Genomic DNA, 18,956 nt, shown 5'->3' on the forward strand with positions numbered 1-18,956 from the left:
TCTTTTTTTTTTTCCCTGAACCATTTGAGGGTAAGTTACACACATTTTGGCTGGTCCTTTACCCCTAAATACTTCAGTGTATATTTTCCTTTCTTTCTTTTTTTTTTAAAAAAAAATTTGAGACAGGGTCTCACTCTGTCACCCAGGCTGGAGTGCAGTGGCATGATCACAGCTCACTGCAGCCTCAACCTCCCAGGCTCAGGGTATATTTTCTACGAGTAGGGATTTTCTCTTCCTTAGTGGCCACAGTACCAGTTATAAACTCCTTTCTACTTTTTAATTTAATGATGGGGAAGTTGAGACATAGGGCAGTTAAAAAGATGTTTCGCATGTTTGAGGTTCATGGACCAAATCTTTGTTGATTCTCTCACTTGGAACATTCTCTCTTTCCATCTCTGCCTGTACATTCCAATCAGACTTTGAAGCCCAGTTCAGGCCTGGCATCCTCTAGAAAAAACCTTTCTTGTGGCCCTAGCCTCTGATTCCAGAATATTCCTCCTGGGCACCATTAATTCCGCACACCACAGAGCACTTGGAGCAATGCTTGAATGATTGCTTCCTGATTGTACTGTTGTTTGTTTATTTTTGTATGTGTACTTCTCTTGTCTCTCAACTAAATTTTTCGGCTGTGAATGGTTCCCTTCTATATATCTTAACACCTAGTAGAATAATATGCAAAAGTAGATGCTCAATAAATATTTGTCACATACATGAGAATTGCTTCCAACTGGAGGAACCATACAGAAATTGAGAGGAAAAGCTATAGAAAAGTCTAACTTCTAATTGAAAAACCCTCTTAAAGTGAGAAAACAAGAACATTTTTAACTGCAGCAAAAATAAAAATTCAACAGGAAAGGAAATACATAGTAAAATACATAGCATTTGAAATAATATGTACATGATCATACTAATTTTGATTATTGAATTAACAAAAATTGTGATTGAGCATATTGGGAGGATGGTAGAAGGCGAAGTGGGGGATGTAAAAGAAAAAATCTTCCCGGGAGGCAGAGCTTGCAGTAAGCCGAGATCGCGCCACTGCACTCCAGCCTGGGCGACAGAGCGAGACTACGTCTCAAAAAAGAAAACAAAAAACAAAAAGAAAAAATCTTCATCTGCTATAACAAGAAGTCAACTGATAGCCGCTTAAAGTGAGAACTCAAGGACTAATATAAGAATATCATATGGGAATGGAGCTTAATGACAGAAGAAGCTGTTAACAAAGTTACAAGTTATTGACTCTGAGGGTGGGGTGGGACTTGGTAGGGGGGGAAGTGGGAGGGATGAGGAAAGAGACTGCTGACTTTTCATTATAAGCGTTCAGTATTAAAGTATTTGATTTTTAAACTTTGTGCACGAAACACTTTGATAACATCAAAACCAAAATAAAGGCAGGCTGCTCCATCTCTCCTTTCTCTCTTTTGCCCTATGGACATTTCATTGCATCTGGTTGATGAGGGTTGTGTAGGAGAAGGGACATCTGCCCTCACTGTGACCATTTCCTGGGGGGAAAAGCCCCTGCTTCTGGTTAACCCAGTGTTTGTCTCTAAGCCCATTCCTCAGCGGACTACTGTCACGAATGCCCCCTGGGGGCAGGGAAGGCCCCCTGCTCTGGACAGCTTGTGACTCCGTGGCAGAGTCCACTCTGAGAGGGCGGTGATCATGGTGGTGGGGGCGGGGGTGGGGTTGGGGGAGCGGCCCCCTAGCGGGAGCAGGAGGCACTGCAGGATTGTCCTAGGGAAGTGGTTGAACTTGGAGGTTCAAGGGCCTTTCTCACTGCCTGGTTACTTTCCCAGGCTTTGTGGAGGCGGCTTTGTGGCACAACTGGAGCTTTATTTTCTTGTCTACCGAGGAGAGAAACCCACAGAAGATGCGGGACCGTTGTGGGAGATGGTCTTTCCACCAGCCCCATGACACAGCCCTGCGAAGCTTTTCAAGTCAGTGCGACTGGGGTGTCTTTCCCCAGGGACTGACTGACAAGAGCTACGTTTTCTGCCTCTATCATATCCCATTCTAGAACACCGGTTTGGCTGTGATGGCCTTTTAGGATGCTCAGTGCCTAAATGACAGGTAGGCCACTTTCTCTGGGTTCCACTTGGAGGCAGAGGAAAGCAACCAGGAATATGGAGAGCCTTCTAGTGCCGGCATTTTGCATGTTGCATTCACTTTCTCATTTGAGCTCCACAGCAGTGCTATGAAGCAGCACTATCCGTATCTCAGTTTACTGATGAGGAAACTGGGGGTTTAGGGAGCATCTCCCAGGTCACAGTGTAAGGGCAGAGGCAGGATACCACTTCAGGGCCATCTGAATCCGAAGCCTCCTAGACAGCCTGCCACACGGTGAGCCGACTGGAAACCCCCATCTGATTCAACTCTAGGGGGATTTTCTGGGTCTCCCAGACAGCATGAGCTGGCACACATTTCTTGTCGTGTTTTTGTTTTTGTTTTTGTTTTTTTGAGACAGAGAGTTGTTCTGTGGCCCAGACTGGAGTGCAGTGGCGCAATCTCGGCTCACTACAACCTCTGCCTCCTGAGTTTAAGCAATTCTCCTGCCTCAGCCTCCCAAGTAGCTGGAGCTACAGGTGCTTAGAAAAACTAAGGAAACCTCCTTAGTGAAACCACTACACCTGGCTAATGTTTTTGGATTTTTTTTTTTTTTTTTTTTTTTTTTTTTTTTTTTTTAGTAGGTACGAGCTTTAACCAGCTTGTTGGCCAGGCTGGTCTTAAACTCCTGACCTCAAGTGATCTGCTCATCTCAGTCTCCCAAAGTGCTGGGATTACAGGCATGAACCATTGCACCCAGCCCACTGGTACACATTTTTTATCTTCATTTATAATCGCAGTCCTGACACTGGCCTTAAATGCCCAGGGCAGGGCCAGTCTGAACTCCAGGCCCAGCTTCAGTGGGATATTGGCTCTGTGCTGGGTGTTTGGTGGGCTCAGCTCTATTCTCATGTCTTTCCTGCTCCCTTGTAAGTGATACTATGTGCTCGGGAGACACGGCCTGGGGCTCAGGATATAGTTTGTGATTACAGAGGTAACATCACTGAGTGGGGAAGAGGGAGGACTCTGGAGTCAGCCGGGACTCCACTGTGTGACCCTAGACAAGGTATTCAGCCTCTCTGGGCTTCATTTTCTCATCTAAAAAAAAAAAAAAAAAAGGAAGGAAGGTTATGTGAGTCCCTACCTCATAAGGTTATTACAGAGATTAAATGACACGTGCAAACCAGCTGGCATGGCCTGCCACATTGATGGCCAGGATCCCTGGTGACTCTTCCTGTTGTGAAGTGCTCCATCTAAAGGCTGAGCTGGTTTGAGGCCATTAGCACACAGAGTGGGCTCATCCATGCACAGAGCAAAGCCACAGGGCTGCTTTTTCATTTTTAGAAATTAAAATTCTGTTCAGTGGTGTTGTTTATTAGTTTTCTAGCCCATTGATTTTTCTTTCACAATAACACCTGGGTTATTCAGAGCCTCCCAGGGAACACCAGACTTCCAAGATTCTCGAGGATGATTGTTATTGTTTTCTAGAGTGTGTTGCAGATTTCCTGCCTTTATCAACAGAGCCTGTGCATTCTCCCCGGCTTCTTGTGAGACATGTGCCAACTCTCCCCATCATAGCCTCTGCCCAGGGAGCCTCTTATCGCTCTTGCCCTTGGCTAGCTGTCCAGGCTGCTGGTCCTTCTCTGGTCCCTGGGTCTGCATTTTGCTGGTTTCCCGTCTCATTCTTAGGCGGCTGCATTTTCCCGATGTGAGGATGCTTGCCATTAGCATTCCTTTCCCCATTTTATAATTTCCCAGACTCACATCCTGTGAGCTGGGAAGCCAGATAACGAAGATTGTTAGAGTTTTTTGTAAAGAGAAATTAGATTCTAAATGGCTGTTCCTCCCCAGGAGTAAAGTGCATGGATTTTAGGACATTTGCATGGTGGTTTGATTGCTTTTTCTGCTTTTCTGCTCTGTGGTTTTTCTCAGTATGCCACATCACTGAACTTGGAGAGCAGAGGTGTTTCTGGACTGTGTTTTAGGAAAGATGGGCTCAAGGAGGTCCCCTTGACAAGGAATAGCTATAGCAATCTTGGGCTCTGAAGTTCAGATGAGTTACCTGCTATTGGACAAGCTAATGAACCTCTGTACCTCTGTCACCAATTTTTTAAGGGCCACAGTGATGCTACATAGCTAATTTAATCTGCTGTGACATGGGCTTTACACATAAGATAATGCAGGTGGGCTCTTATTTTTTTTTAATTATGTGTTTTTTATTTTATATATTTTTTGAGACAGAGTCTCACTCTGTTGCCCAGGCTGGAGTGTAGTAGCCTGATCTCGGCTCACTGCAACCTTGGCCTTACAGGTTTAAATGATTCTCCTGCCTCAGCCTTCCCGGTAGCTATGACTACAGGCACCCACCATTGTGTCCGGCTAATTTTGTATTTTCAGTAGAGACGGGGTTTCGCCATGTTGGCCAGGCTGGTCTTCAACGCCTGACCTTGTGATCCTCCCACCTTGGCCTCCCAAAGTGCTGGGATTACAGGTGTGAGCCACTGTGCCCAGCCTCATCTGAACAATTTTGCAGTGAAATTCTCTGAACCCTGGGAGCAGATACCTGGCCTGGCTCCCGCTCAGTGCTAAGCTAAGCCCTGCCAGGGCTGAAGCCCCACAGGACTCCATTCCAGTTAGTGTCCAAGCAGCACAGCCAAGCCAGCAGTGTCTCCTTTCCACCTTCCCTGGGGGCAGGAATGCTGTTTCTGCCGGGTAAGCCCCTAGCAGGGGCTCAGACACCCTTCTCATCACCTGATTTGCATTCCTGGTTCCATCTGTTTTATATATTGAGTCTTCTAAGATTTGGTTTAAAGAAAAGGTTTCATTGCTTAAAAAAACATTCTTTGCAAATCCTGCCCTAGAGAAGTCTAAAGTAGAGAGACCCAGATGGGTGCTGGCATGACCCAGAAGCTGGCCCAACTCCTGCATGACTGGAGACACTGATTCATAACCGCCACCACCCCTGCCCAGTTTCTTCTTTGGGACTGTATGAACTACCCAGATGGGGAAGCTGAGGCAAGGGTCTGGGCTCTGAGCCACGAGCCAAGGGGCTGCTGGTCAGGTGGTGGTTCACAGGGAGCTGCTCTTCCCCCCAGAAACATTAGCTTGGTCTCGAAAGGCTGCAAGGTCTGTAGGCTCCCACTGAAGGCCCAGTGTGGAGCTCAGCCCTGGGGCTGCGTCTGGGTGGCTGAGGGTGAGGGCAGCCTGGGGTTCAGGCAGGTGGCCAGCTGGATGTCCAGCCCACATGCCCACGGGCCCGCATGCAGAGGACCGGTCAGCCTCCATGGCGAGGAGAGATGGGAAAGGCAGAGCTGAGAGTGCTTTATGAAATGCCCCCAGGCTTACTCAAACAGAGAAAGTCAGGGTAACGAGTCAGAGGGCAGGAATCTGGCGGGTCAGAAAGATCAGGAGCCAGCAGGGAAGCGGATTGATGACAGCCGACTCCGGCGGCACCAGGCGGCAGCGGCTGCGGGTTATCCCAGCGGGCGCAGCCTGTACTCCTCTCCTGCCCCTGCGGGAGCTGGAAGCTGAGTGACACCAGCCCGAGGCCTGCAGCGCAGGGCCAGAGACCGCTGGCTGGGCCCAGGTGAGAGTGTGTGTGAGTGTGTATGTGAAAGTGTGTGTATGTGTGTGTATATGTGAGTGTGTATTTGTGTATATGTGAGTGTGAATGTGTGTGAGGGTATGAGTGTGTATGTGAATGTGTGTGTGTATGATGTGTGTGTATAAGTGTATGTGTGTGAGCGTGTATGAGTTTATGTGTGTATGCGTGTGTGAGAATGTGTGTATGAGTGTGTGAGAGTATATATGTGTATATGGGTATATAAGTGTGTATGAGTGTATGTGTGCATGAGTGTGTATATGTGAGTGTATGTGTGTATGTGTATGTGTATGAGTGTGGGCATGTGTATGAGTGTATGAGTGTGTGTGAGTGTACGTATATCTAAGCATGTGTATGTGTGTGAGTAAGTGTATGTATATGTGAGCGTGTGTATGAGTGTATGTGTATGAGTGTGTGAGTGTGTATGTGTGAACATGTGTGTATGAGTGTGTGTATGAGTGTGTGAGCGTGTGTATGAGTGTGTGAATGTGCATTAGTGCATATGAGTGTGTGTATGTGTATGTATGAGTGGGTGTGTAGGAGTGTGTATGTGAGTGTGTGAGTGTGTGCCAGTGTGTGTGCTGGGGAAAGGATAGAGACAAAGAGCACATGCAATTACTTCCTGAAGTACACCCTAACCCTGGGCCTCCTGGAGAGCTGTTTGTTCCCAATCCCCAATATCCAACCCATGCTTTCTACTTCACCGGAGAGCCCTGTGGTGCCCACCTCTATGCCATTCTCCTATAGACAGTAAATCTTAGTTAACTTGATTGACACAGGTATCATGCCCAGGCTATAAACTTTTGGAGCAACACATTAGAAGGGGCTTAGAGGACTTCAGAGGCAGATATAATGACGGTAAGTGAGAGTCACAATGGAGCCAAAATAAAAACAAACACACACAAACCTAAAATACAGGACTAATCAGCAGAGGAAGTAGCAGCTGGATGCTCACAAGATCATAGAGGGACCTTAGAGTCCAACCCATCTCCCAAGGCACAAAGTCTATGTCTAGTGTATCTGGCATGGTCATTTGGCTCAGACATCTAGGGACAGGAACACAAGGACCACACATGGCAACTCATGTCAGAGTTTTCCTTTATACAGAACGGGAAATTCCTTTATGGCACTCTGACTCTGGTTCTGGTGTGACGCTTTGGGCCTGGAGTGTGGAGCCATGGAAGCCTGGACTTATGGAAGCCTGGACTTATGTCCCCTTAAGTCTTCTCTTCATTCCTCATGTGACTCAGGCTCCAGCTTTTTAACATCCTGGCCACCCACCTCTGGATGAGCTCCTTATCCAGAATTTGATGTACTGGACACATCATTTATTAATTTTTAAAATTAAAAAAAATTTTTTTAGATGGAGCCTAGCTCTGTCATCCAGGCTGGAGTGCAGTGGCATGATCTTGGCTCACTGTAACCTCTGCCTCCTGGGTTCAAGAGATTCTCTTGCCTCATCCTCCTGAGTAGCTGGGACTACAGGCATGCACCACCATACCCTGCTAATTTTTTATTCTATTTTATTTTTAGTAGAGATGGGTTTCACCATGCTGGCCAGGCTGGTCTCAAACCCCTGACCTCAGGTGATCCGCCTGCCTTGGCCTCCCAAAGTGCTGGGATTACAGGCGTGAGCCACAGTGCCCAGCCCATAATTTATTAATTCAACGGAGGATTTTGGTCACATTGCCTGGGGGGTTAAGAGCTCAAGTTCTGGAATCATACAATCTTGGATTCAAGTCCCAGCTCCACCACTTAGTAGCTGCATAACCGCGGGTAAGTAAGTTACTTAACCTCTCTGAACTTCAGTTTCCTTCTCTTTAAAATGAAGATAAAAATAATAGCACCTTCACGGAGGATTAAGTTATATAGTGTGTGTAAATGACCTCCCACAGTGCCTGGCATATGGTAAACACTTGGAATTTGGCAGCCACGTTGGACTGATGGTGACTCATGCTGAGCCTGTACTTAGCTAAAAGCCAAGGGTCTTTTTCGCATGAACTGCTGGCATTTATCCTTATTAGACTTCATTTTGTCAGTTTCAGTCCATTGTCTCTTCCTGTCCGCATGTCTCATTCTGCCACCGTACATTAGCACCGTACATTAGCCAGCTAGCGCATCCAACTTAGCCATCTGCAAATCTGATAATAAGCCTTTTATATTTTCAACTGCAATCTCACCCTAATCTGATGCCAACATGCTATTCAAGATTCTTTAGGTTCAGCTGTTCACCCAGCCCTCAAGTTACTCAACTGTGCTTTCTCATGGAGCCCACTCTGACTCCTCTGAGTGAGAAATTCTTTTTTTCCCCCCTGGAAATTTTGAAGGCTCCAAGGAAAAAGTTAAATTATATTTAATAACTTCTGTTTCAAAGACCAAGGAAATTATAAAACCCATTAGAAAGACTGTAATCAAAAATTAGTCAACATGAAGTTTGGGCAGTTGGCAGTGTAAATTTTATTTATCTAGAACATCCCCTCTTGAGGAGTTGTATAAATCCTCCACAATGCCAGAAAACGAGGCATCACTTCATAGGGCATTCTGTATTTTTCCACATGGTTTATACTTTCTCTCTACTAAAATAGAAACTTCTCCGGGTCAGGAGCCCTTCTGTCATTTTGTATCTCTTATCAGCACCTGAGTCTGAGCTTTGCACACAACTCCTAATACCCACTGGCTGACAGATCACCACTGTAAAAATGAACCATTTATATGTACTTGTGATGGTTAACTTTGCATGTCAACTTGGGTGGACCATGGGGTGCCCAGATTAAGCATTGCTTCTGGGTGTTTCTGGATGAGATTGGCATTTGAATCAGTGGATTGCCCTCTGCCATCTGGACAGACATCATCCAATCTGTCGAGGGCCTGACTAGAACAAAAGGCAGAGGAAGCAGGAATTTGCCTCCTTTTTCCAGTCTCACCACCTGGGCTGGGACATCTGTCATCTCCTGCCCTGGGACTGGGATCTACACCATTGGCTTCCCTGGTTCTTAGGCCTTTGGACTCACACAGAGTGACATCAGCAGCTCTCCTGGGTCTCCAGCTTGCAAGTGGCAGCTCATGGGATGTCTTAGCCTCCATAATTAATCAAGTGAGCCAATTCCTACACACACACACACACACGCGCGCGCGCGCACGCGTGCGCGCTAGTCTCCTCTTCGTTCTGTTTCTCTGGAGAAACTGCAGAACATATCCAGCTTCAGACAGTGAGAGCTCAGATACGAGATTCAAGAGGGGAGAGATGACATTTTGTTTATTTTTGTCACCCTCAGGGTACCCATATCATCCCATGTTGCACCTGGTAGATGTAGAACTGAGAAAATACTGTCTCTAAATGTTGAATGAATAACATGAGGGAACCCAGCCACAGTCCCAGAGTCACACTGATCCTATTCACGTGCCTTCCTTCCCTCACTGAAGATGACATTACTGACACATTGTCAAGAAACACTGCAATCAAGAGCTGTGAATGAGGGCTGATGCAAACATGGTGCTGGGCTACAGACAGGCCATAGACATAGACATTGTACATCCCAGAGAGCATGAATCTCGGTGGGGAGAGCACATGTCTATGAAAAGTTTATATCTGGTGTATCTGATGCACCATTTAAAAGATAAAGACATGAAATAGGCTCATTGAGAAGGGATCAACACTTTCAGCCTTTGGTCATTGGAAGGGCTTCACCAAAGAGAGTAATTGAGTAGGACTTTAAAGGTCAAAGAACGGGAGAGAACTTTCCAAAGTGGAAGAATAACCCAAGTCGCAGTAAGAGGATGGTCAAGAAGTAGATGGGTTTGGGAAATGACAAGGATTTGGGGGCTCCTAAAGAGCACCAGCCTAGCTTCCCCCTGTGAGCCATGGCACATTCTGGTGTCATAGTGGTGCATAGGTGGTTGTGGAATAGGTGTTTTCTCTGCAAAGTTAACTGGCTTACAAAGGGCTATAACCCATGTGCTCTGCCTTACTGGCATTTCCCTCTAATCTGAGCTAAGAAGGTCAGCTAAACAGACTATATTTGGACTAAGCTGCTCCCTGTAGCCCAACTACTAAATATCATCATCAGCCAAAGCCACGTCATCAGGCAGGTGGATTCGGATTTTTCACCTCAAATGATAAGACGTGCTTTCTGGCTCCTCCAGCCCCTAGCAATAGTGACACACAGTCCCTCCCTGGACAGTCTTCCTTTATTTCTCACAGAGTCCTGTTACCCTCCCAAGCGACTGCCTCTGCAGACTCTCCTTACGGGTTTGGCCTTCCTCTCTGGACAAAGGGGCGTCCCTCGGATAACTGTTGCCTGGCAACATCTCTACTGTGCCCTTGGAGAAACAGAGACACTGTCTGCTTGAAAGCTAAGGCATGCTGTTGGCTTTTGGGCTGCCTATAGTGAAATACAAAGATTAGGTTTCTTAATTAATAGTTTTCTCACTTTAAAAGGTTATTTAGGATTCAGTTCTTTCTAAACATCATTTTTTTTCCTCTACCCTCCACTTTCAAGCCCTGCCCTTGCTGGTTTTAATTTCACAATTTTAAAGAGAAGCCTGGAGAACAAGCTTGTATAGCTCTCTTAAGAAAAGTCACATTTAGGTTGCTTTTTTCTTTAGGCAGACACAAAACCCCATATTACCTATTCTTTTTTCACGAAAGAAGAGGGGGCAATTAGAACAACTGCCTGGTGATTCTGGTCACAGATTAGCTTTTACATGGGTCCCCACGATATTGGGGTTGTACCCATCTCCAGGAATGAAAGCACTGCTGAGAGCTTTGGGGATTCTCTTCTTTTTGGTGAGCCTGAGGCTATGGCTACTCAATGCCACATGTGTGTGTGTGTGTGTGTGTATGTGTGTGTGTGTGTGTGTGTGTGTATAGCCACACACACGCATATATATATGTGTGTACAGATAGATAGATAGAAAGAGGAAGGAAAGAGAGAGAGAGAGGAGAGAGAGAGAGACGGGCCCAGGGGGAGAGAGACAGGGGAGGGAGTTGGGGGGAGAGAGAGAGAGAGAGAGAAAGAGAGAGAAAGAAAGAAAAGGAACCTAAAAGCAAACAAAAAACTAGTCAGTTAAATCTATCCAGTAGAAAGACAAAGTGTTCATTTGCAGTGAAGTACAACTATTAGAGGATTGCCTAATTCTATTTTTGGAAAGTTCTGTTGTCCATTAAAGCATCCATAGGCCCCGCTCCATTCTTCCTCATATCACAGAAGTGAAGAGACTCACAGTTCTAAGTAATAACTCCATGTGTACATAGTGCCATGAAGCCACATACCACTTTATGGAGTCTTTTTCTTATGGTGTAGTGATCAAGTGTATACACTTTGAATTCTAATAGTTACGGGTTTGAATCTAATTCTGCTACTTTCAGCTTTGTGATTTGGGCTGAGTCTCTTAATTCTCTGAGCCTATCTGTAAAATGGAAATACTAGCATGCGCCTTGTACAGCCCTTGGGAGTATTACATAACAAATGCAGCACTTCTGATAGAGTGCCTGGCGCTTAGTAGGCATTCAAATATGAGCTTCCTTTCCTCTTCTTTCTGTGCCTCTGCCCATAACCTTACCCCCATCTCAGTGATTCAGGCTTTTTCATTAAAAAAAAAAAAAAAAAAAACCAAAAACAAAACAAAAACCCTAAGCAGAGACCAGGTGTTAATAATGAGACAGTTGAATGGAACCAGGTGTTACTGAATGAGATCGTCATTCATTTGGTCCCAGGTTCTGGCTGTTTTGTTTTGTTTTGTTTTTTCTTTTTCCCTACTCATGGCAGGCTTAAACTTTGCTCTGAAATTTTGCCACAACCTGGGCTTCCCACTGACAATTTCTGTTTGAGCTTTTGAGAAGGCCACAGACAGTGAATGGAGAGGGCTCACTCTAGGGAGGGCGCAAAGAAAGAAAGTAACCTTAAGTCGGGCGAGAAGAAAAAGAAATGTTGTTTTTTGGAGGCGTGGATGAAAACATTGTCAGGGTTCAGGGAAATAGGGTAAGTCTCTCTGTAACAAACATTCATTGAGCACCTACTGTGTACAGGCTCAGCTTTCTAATGGGAGGTCTGATTCCTGCCTTTGTGTGCTTATCGTCTAAATAGACATCCAGAGTCTGAAAAAGGTCAACAGCAGCTGAGTTTTAGGCATCAATCACACAGCTCCTAAAAGGCTTCAGACCGAGGGAGCAACTGGATGTGTTTAATCAAGTAAGGCTTCCTGAAAGAGGCAAATTTTGAGCCAGTTTGAAGGAGATGAGGATCATGGGTGGAAGGAGAGGAATTCAGGGTCTAGAACTGCAGGTGCCAAAGCTTAGTGTTAAGGGGTCATTCCAGTGGGTGACAAGGCCCCCTCATCGTCAAGTGCTGGGTGAATCTCCCTTCATTGGAGGCTCTCTTTCAGGGGCCCTGCAGGGACCCAGGCAGGGGGTGGGGCTACAAGTAGTCTAACCTCATTGGACCGGAGGACTCCGAAGAACGGGTAAAGGAAGGCCGGCACCAGGGCTGCAGCTCCCAGAGGCACTGCCTCCGACACCCAGTACACAGCAGTCACGATCAGCACGTAAGCACACGAGGCCTCCTGCAAGGCAAGGAAAGGGGCCGTCATTCACAGGAATAGTCACTGCCACTGAGCGTCCGGATGCAACCCTGGCATCTGAGGCAGCAGACTCAGACTGTAACGCGGGTACTAGGATACAGCCCAGGGACCGAAACCGAACTGGCAGGCGAGCATGGTGAATACATGGTGAGTCCATCCTTTGGTGGGTGACATTATGGCTGCTCCTTCGGGGACCGATGCCTGGCGTGTGGTTTGCACTGGTGTGTAGCCAGGCAGCTCGGAGGGTTCTGGAAACTGCCAAGGTGGGGACTGAACTTAACTGCAGTGACCAGACCCATGATCACAAAACCATACAAGTGGAGTTCAAAGCTTTAACTTGGACTGGGATGTAATTGGTGTTAAGTTGACTGGATATTAGAAGTTCTTGGGGTAGTTGGAGATAGGAATCACTATGTGTGGTGGGGGCTGGGGCTTGCACTTGTAATCCCAGGACTTTGGGAGGCCAAGGTGGGAGGATCACTTGAGCCCAGGAGTTTGAGACCAGCCTGGGCAATATATAGCAAGACCCCATCTCTAAAAAATAAAATATAAATTAGCCAGGTGTGGTGGCACAGGCCTGTAGTCCCAGCTACTTGGGAGGCTGATGCCAGAGGATCACTTGAGCCCAGGGGCTTCAGGCTGCAGTGAGCTATGATCATATGCCATTGCACTCCAGCTTGGACTACAGGACTATAGAGTACAATGCTGTCTCAAAAAAACAAGCAAACAAACAAAAAAAACAGTTCGTTCACATGTGAGCTCTGAGATCAGTCATCCTGAGTTTGACACATGTGCCTAAGATATGAAGATATGTGGCATTGGTGTGTGCCTGACTGAAGAGAAGTGGATCAGTAAGAAGTGAGATTTATAAACAATCCAAAAGGTGGCTTCTGGACTGTGCTCTTACAGCCCTGGGCATCTGGGGTGTGTCTCAAGAATATACCAGGGGGATCAGCAAGGCCTGGAATCTGGACCCCCTCTCCAGCCTCATCCCAAATGGAGTAGCTTTGTTCTCATTTGATTCATATACGAACATTACATGTGAGATTTGAAAAAAAAAAAGCTTTATTGCTTTAAAAATGAATAAACAAAGTTAAATCCCCCTGTTTTAGACTATTTGCTGAAACAACTTGATTCAGTAGTAAATTTTAATCAAATAAATTATTAGGCAACTTGAAGAACTGGTTGACCATTTCCCCCTTCAATTTTGGATCTGAGGTCCTACCATGTTTTGCATCTAGAGACTGAATCCTTCTCCCAAAGGCCCCTGTAAGAGTTAATAAGGAGCTCCCTTCCCTGGGAGAGGGAAGGGAAGACTGAAGAGGAAGGCAGCGATCCTGAGCATGGAACTCTCATTTTGGATGAAGAAGCATCAGCTCCTAACTCAGTGTTTGTCAACCTTCGTACTACTGACATTTAGGGCCACATAGTTTCTTCTTGCAGGGGGGCTGTCCTGTGCACTGTAAAAGAGCAGCATCCCTGGTCTCTACCCACTAAATGCCGGTAGCACTTCCTCCACTGTGACAAGCAAAAAACCATCTCTAGACATTGCCAAATGTCCCTTGGGGAGGTAAAATGATTCCTGGTTGAGAGCCACTGCCCTAACCAGGGTCTGGTTCTCGTTGCTCTTGGACTCCATTCTATCCGCTTGACACCATGGAAACATCCATCTACAAAGACTGAAGACAGCCATCTATCTGGAAGGGGAGGCCTGGACATTCACCAGCATTTTCCATAGCCCACTCACTTTGCTGGCTGGACAACCTAGGGGTGCACAGGGTAATTAAGTACAACATTCTTATCAGAAGCCAGCCCTCCATCAGCTTGCCCTCTAGTTGTGTTGATTGCCCTGAATTATGCTGATGAACGCTGTTAAGACAGGTTACCGCCTTACTCTAGGGAGAGGCTGCAGTTCATGGGCCTTGTTAATGGTAACATCACCAAGCTCCGTGACTCAGAAGAGCATTTATAGAAAATCCAAGTTGGCTGTGGGATCCTCAATTTTTACATAGTTGTAAACCATCAGGACTCGTGTCTGATTTGCCCTGAGGCTGGCTGCTGATCAAGGAACCTGACAAATCTTGCTGTTTATGGCCCCTTGAGTTCAGAACACGCGTCCTCAAACTCTTGCATAAAAGTTACAAAAGGTCGCTGTATCAGTAAGGGGCAGCAGGAGTGATTAAATCAGCTGGGCTGGCAAGGACCTTGTGCCCTCCTGACATTCGTGGATTATGGGATTGGGGTTTGAGAAATGGGAACTGGGCCCAAAAGTTGACTGTAGCTCCCCACTGAGATGTTCTCTGGGGCCAAAAGATCAGAGGGAAGATAAAACTTTTGGAAGTGCTGATAAGACAACAGAACCAATGGTGGAAAAAAAAAGAGGCTCCACTTGGAAACAAATTCAATTTAGAGAAATACCCTGTTTGCTATAGAAATAAAACTACCTAAAGGAGTTCAAACCCACGTGTTCTCATCTCTCTTCTGGGAAAGAGACAGAGTGGCAGATCTTAACTCCAGTTGAAGAGAAAGAGTTGAGAGACAAAATGTCTGCCCCTCACTGGGGACCCTTATTTCTTCCTGGAACCCTTAGTCTTTCTTGATCTGGTCATTACAGGGCTACAAGTTACAAGTTAAGGGGAAGGAGGTGGGGAGAGAAGGTGCAGAGAAAGGGAAAGGAGAAAGAGGAAAAGAGCCTGTAATCCCAGCACTATGGGAGGCCGAGGTGGGTGGATCAGTTGAGGTCAGGAGTTCGAGACCAGCCTGGCCAACATGGCGAAACCCTGTCTCTATTAAAAATACAAAAAATTCATCCAGGTGTGGTGGCACATGCCTGTAATCCTAGCTGCTCTGGAGGCTGAGGCAGGAGAATCCCTTGAACCCGGGAGGCAGAGGTTGCAGTGAGCCAAGGTTGTGCCACTGCACTCCAGAGCCTGAGTGACAGAGTGAGACTCTGTCTCAGAAAAAAAAAAAAAAAAAAAAAAGAAGAAAGGAGAGAGAGAGAAAGAAAGAGGACTTTCCCTCTGCCAGGTGCCTTTAGTTTTCAATTAGGAGAATGTGGGTAAAATAAAGCAAACATTTTGGTTGTAAATATTGTTAGACATGCGACTAGGTTACTGGAAGAAGTAAGTCATCAGGCCACCTTCACCCAGCTGTATTAAGGACAGGATTAATTACTATCATTTTTTACCTGGATTTTCCTTAGAGTAGAAGAATGGACAAGAGACACCTTTAGAGAGTCTTTCCATACAGTTTCCACTTATTTCACCCATGGAATCTCCATAAACTTCATTTTTCCCCTTCTAAAGCTTCCCAAAATTCAGGAGGTAAGCTTGTATTCAGACAACCAAAAATACTGCAAAGTTTGCTTACAAGGAGTCCGATGTCCCCAACGCCTATCCCATGTCTAGCAGGTGGTTCAATTCACGTGGGCTGAACTGCACTGGACTTCTCTGCTGGCTGTCAGGTCTCGCTCATCTTCTGGAGAGAATATTCTGCAACCCCCAGGCTCTTTAACAACACCACTGGTTCCTTATAATAGCAGGTATGTGGGGGTTGGGCATTGGTGAGTGTTCAGACAATATCTTCAAGGGACATGCTATCTACTATTTTTTGGCTCCCGTTTACAAGTAAAGGAAAGAGTTCGAAAGTGGCATTTCCCCATGTAGGACGTTTCCTAGTCAGCTACTCACTTAGGCGTGGAACTGCTCGTTTTCCACGCAGTTTGACCACCCCAGTGATATCCCACTCCAACTTCACGGGAAGGAGGTTGAAGTCTGTTATCTGTTATCATCAATGACTGGGGGCGCCTTTTAAAAAATTTAGCTTGGGCAGTTGAGATGCAACTTTTATCCCACTGGGGGCACTGAGGAAGGGCTTAGTTATGGATGCTGTCTCTTGTACCCTCTTCTTCTATAACATGATAAACAGTGTCTGGACCTCTAGTTTTAGAGAGTTGGGCAAGAAAAAGGGGGAAGGTCATTTTGACTCCTCCTAAAATGTAGCTGAGGCTTGTCGCTTAGAACCATCAAAACTGCAGGCCAGGAGCTCCTGCCCAGGTACTCCATCACTGCTCTCAACTCCAGTCCAGAGCAAGAAAATCCATTTGGAATTTTAAGGGTTAAATATCAGACTCTAAAAGTTTGATGCAGGCCAGGCACGGTGGCTCACACCTGTAATCTCAACACTTTGGGAGGATCACGTCAGACCATGAGTTTGAGACCAGCCTGGGCAACATAGTGAAACCCCCATTTCTACAAAAAAAATTTTTTTAAAAATTAGCTGCATGTGGTGGTACTTGCTTGCCTGTAGTCCCAGCTACTCCAGAGGCTGAGGCACGAGGATTGCTTAACCCCAGGAGCTCAAGGCTGCAGTGAGCTACGATTGTGCCACCGCACTCCGGACTGGGTGACAGAGTGAGACTCTGCGTCTACAAAAAAAAGTTTGATGAAAGGGGTGACGGATGGATGAAACTCTACCTGCTGGGCACCTAGTCTGTGCCTTCTGTGGGCAGTGGCCAAGGTCCCCAAAGATGGGGCTGCCTCAACCAGGAGATATGAGAGGTTCCTGATACTGCTTGGGAGAGGAGGCTAGTATGTCTCTCGGTAACAGTCCCTTATAGCAACCTACATGGAGAAAAAACAAAAACAAGAAAAGCCACAAAAAGAAAAAAAATCAGGCCCATTTGGACAAAGCAGAAAATTGACTAGGGTACAGTCCAGGAAGAATGTCAGCAGCAATCACTGTCTGCTAATCCCAGCCCAGTTTTAATCAGCGTCTCCCTGGCACTCTGGAGTATTTATTCTATGAAAGATTTAAGCCAGTTTGTTTTTAAGAAGAACCATCCTAATCCCCTCTGTTTAACTGTTTAACTTAATCTTGGTTACCAAGTTACTTAAGGAGCAGAGTGGAAGAATTGCTCCCCCTCCTACAAACGTGATTAACCTGTTTTAGCTTATTTTTCCTAAAGTCTCCAGGGCAGTGCCAGCTGGGGGAAGGGGACAAGCCACAGACAGGAGGAAGAGAACAGCGGAGGGAAGGGAAGGGAAGCAGGTGACCACCAGGAGGGTGTGACAGGCAAGCTGGATGCTGAGCCAGAGCTGAGGTTCCTCTGTTCTCACAAACCAGGTGAAGAATGAGGTCACGGGCTAGAGTTTGGGGGCTCTTATCTCTTTTTTATCGTGTCACTTTTTGTCTGTCCTTCAAGAGGACAGAGAAGAAAACACAGAAGACACAAATAATTCAAGGCCACGTGCATGGGAGCAGGGCAGCCTGCTAAGTTCTGCTTTCATTCCTTCCCTAAACATTCATTCCCTGAAGTTGATAGGCGCCTTCGGGATTAGAGCTTCAACTGTGGTCATCGAAGCCCACCAGGACACGACCACAGACCACGGATTGGCTCCACGGTTCTCTTCCTCCCCCAACCTTCTCCTCAGTGCCACTATTGGGAGCTCTTTCTGTGTCTCCAGGGGCTCTCAGATAACCAGGGTCCCAGGTGAACTCCCGACAAACACAGGTGCACCATGTCGTTTGCATGGGTGTCGCTGGCCCCCGCTGCTGGGGCAGGCTGGCCTGCTGCTTGGTGCAACACCCATCAGTCACTTCTGCCAAGGCCCCTACTCTGTCCTGACCCCGGTGGGGGCCATGGGGTTGGGGGAATGGGACTGGGATAGGAGATGAACATGACAGCTTTTAGGAAGAAGATATCTTGGTTTCCTCTGGAAAAATCCTTCCATTTCTTTAAACCCACCACAAGCCACTTTGAGGGACTGCCTGAGCGCCCCATGTTCCCCTACCGACCTCCCCTCTTTGCCCTCCCACTGACTCCCAGACCCCCGGTGGGCGCAGGTCGGTACTCACGCTGCTGGGGTGGAGGACGGGCAGAGGCAGCAGCAGGAGCGGGACGCAGACGACCAGCAGCAGCTTCCGGACTCGGAGCAGGCCCTGCAGCAGGCCCATCGCGCCTCTGTCCTCTCCAGCTCGTCCTTGGACCCCGCTCTGCCGGCGAAAGGCTTCCTGCCTGGGCACTGCTCTCTATCCAGAAAGACTTCTTAAACCTTTCTTGGCTTCCGAGAGTCCTCCTTCGTCTTGGGGGCAGAACGGGAGGGCAGTTATACCCTCGCTGTTTCTACAAGAGGCTGGGCTCCTGGCCTCCTGCTTTAGGTGGGATTGATGAGCATCGTTTTGTGACCAGCAAAAAGGAACTGGGAAAGGATGATAAACGGGGGCATAGTGGGCCTCCTCTCGGCTTGATTAGTAATAGAGTAACTTCATTCTAGGTGTCAGCAGAAACCCCCTTAATCCTTTAAGCCACACCTTTGCTGCTGCTGCTCGGCCTTGAAGAAATCATTTAAAAGCTTAAAAACATTAAAAACGCTCAGAGCACATTGTGCTCTCCATCAGTTTTCCTCCCTCGGATGACCTATTTTGGGGAGTACCTGTTTCATCTCCCACCTGGGCTCGCTGTTGGTAAGACTCTAGTAGCCCCTTTCCTTAAAACAAGCACCTGAGCTTGTCAGAGTTGCATGCGGACTTCAGGTGGGGCTGCTGGTCGCTCCCAGGACGTGGTACCTTAACTCTGTTCACATGTCTTTCCCTCAAATTGGTTCCCTACTTATAATTTGCCTTGAGCCTGGGCCTGCAAAGCAGAAAAGAAAAGTCCCCAAGACATTCCTTTTTATCAAAGGACAAAACTTGCTGGAGGCCCACCTTTAACTTTCATCCACCAATGGGAAGC

At 46.8% G+C, this 18,956-nt stretch overlaps 1 protein-coding gene across 4 annotated transcripts in view, besides 1 other annotated feature; it reads right to left on the reverse strand.

Moving 5' to 3' along the window:
- The window catches only part of SLC13A4 (solute carrier family 13 member 4), a 46,956-nt gene extending 28,088 nt beyond the window's left edge, over window positions 1-18,868 (reverse strand). For all 4 annotated transcript variants that reach the window (XM_047420184.1, NM_012450.4, XM_011516024.4 and 1 more), the window contains exons 1-2: window positions 18,080-18,868; window positions 12,077-12,205 (exon numbers count right to left, since the gene is read on the reverse strand). In XM_047420184.1, the coding sequence (XP_047276140.1) occupies window positions 12,077-12,205; window positions 18,080-18,178 (228 nt within the window). In that variant the 5' untranslated portion in view covers window positions 18,179-18,868. The remainder of the gene's footprint in view (window positions 1-12,076; window positions 12,206-18,079) is intronic.
- Window positions 5,287-6,153: an enhancer, noted in NCBI's record as "NANOG-H3K27ac-H3K4me1 hESC enhancer chr7:135399353-135400219 (GRCh37/hg19 assembly coordinates)". NCBI's record gives its function as "activates a minimal SCP1, AML or CMV promoter by ChIP-STARR-seq in naive H9 embryonic stem cells {active_cell/tissue: H9 hESC(naive)}" and the evidence as "EXISTENCE:reporter gene assay evidence [ECO:0000049][PMID:30033119]".
- Window positions 18,869-18,956: the final 88 nt, after the last annotated feature.

This window comes from Homo sapiens, chromosome 7, assembly GCF_000001405.40.
Source record: "Homo sapiens chromosome 7, GRCh38.p14 Primary Assembly".
Taxonomy (NCBI): domain Eukaryota; kingdom Metazoa; phylum Chordata; class Mammalia; order Primates; family Hominidae; genus Homo; species Homo sapiens.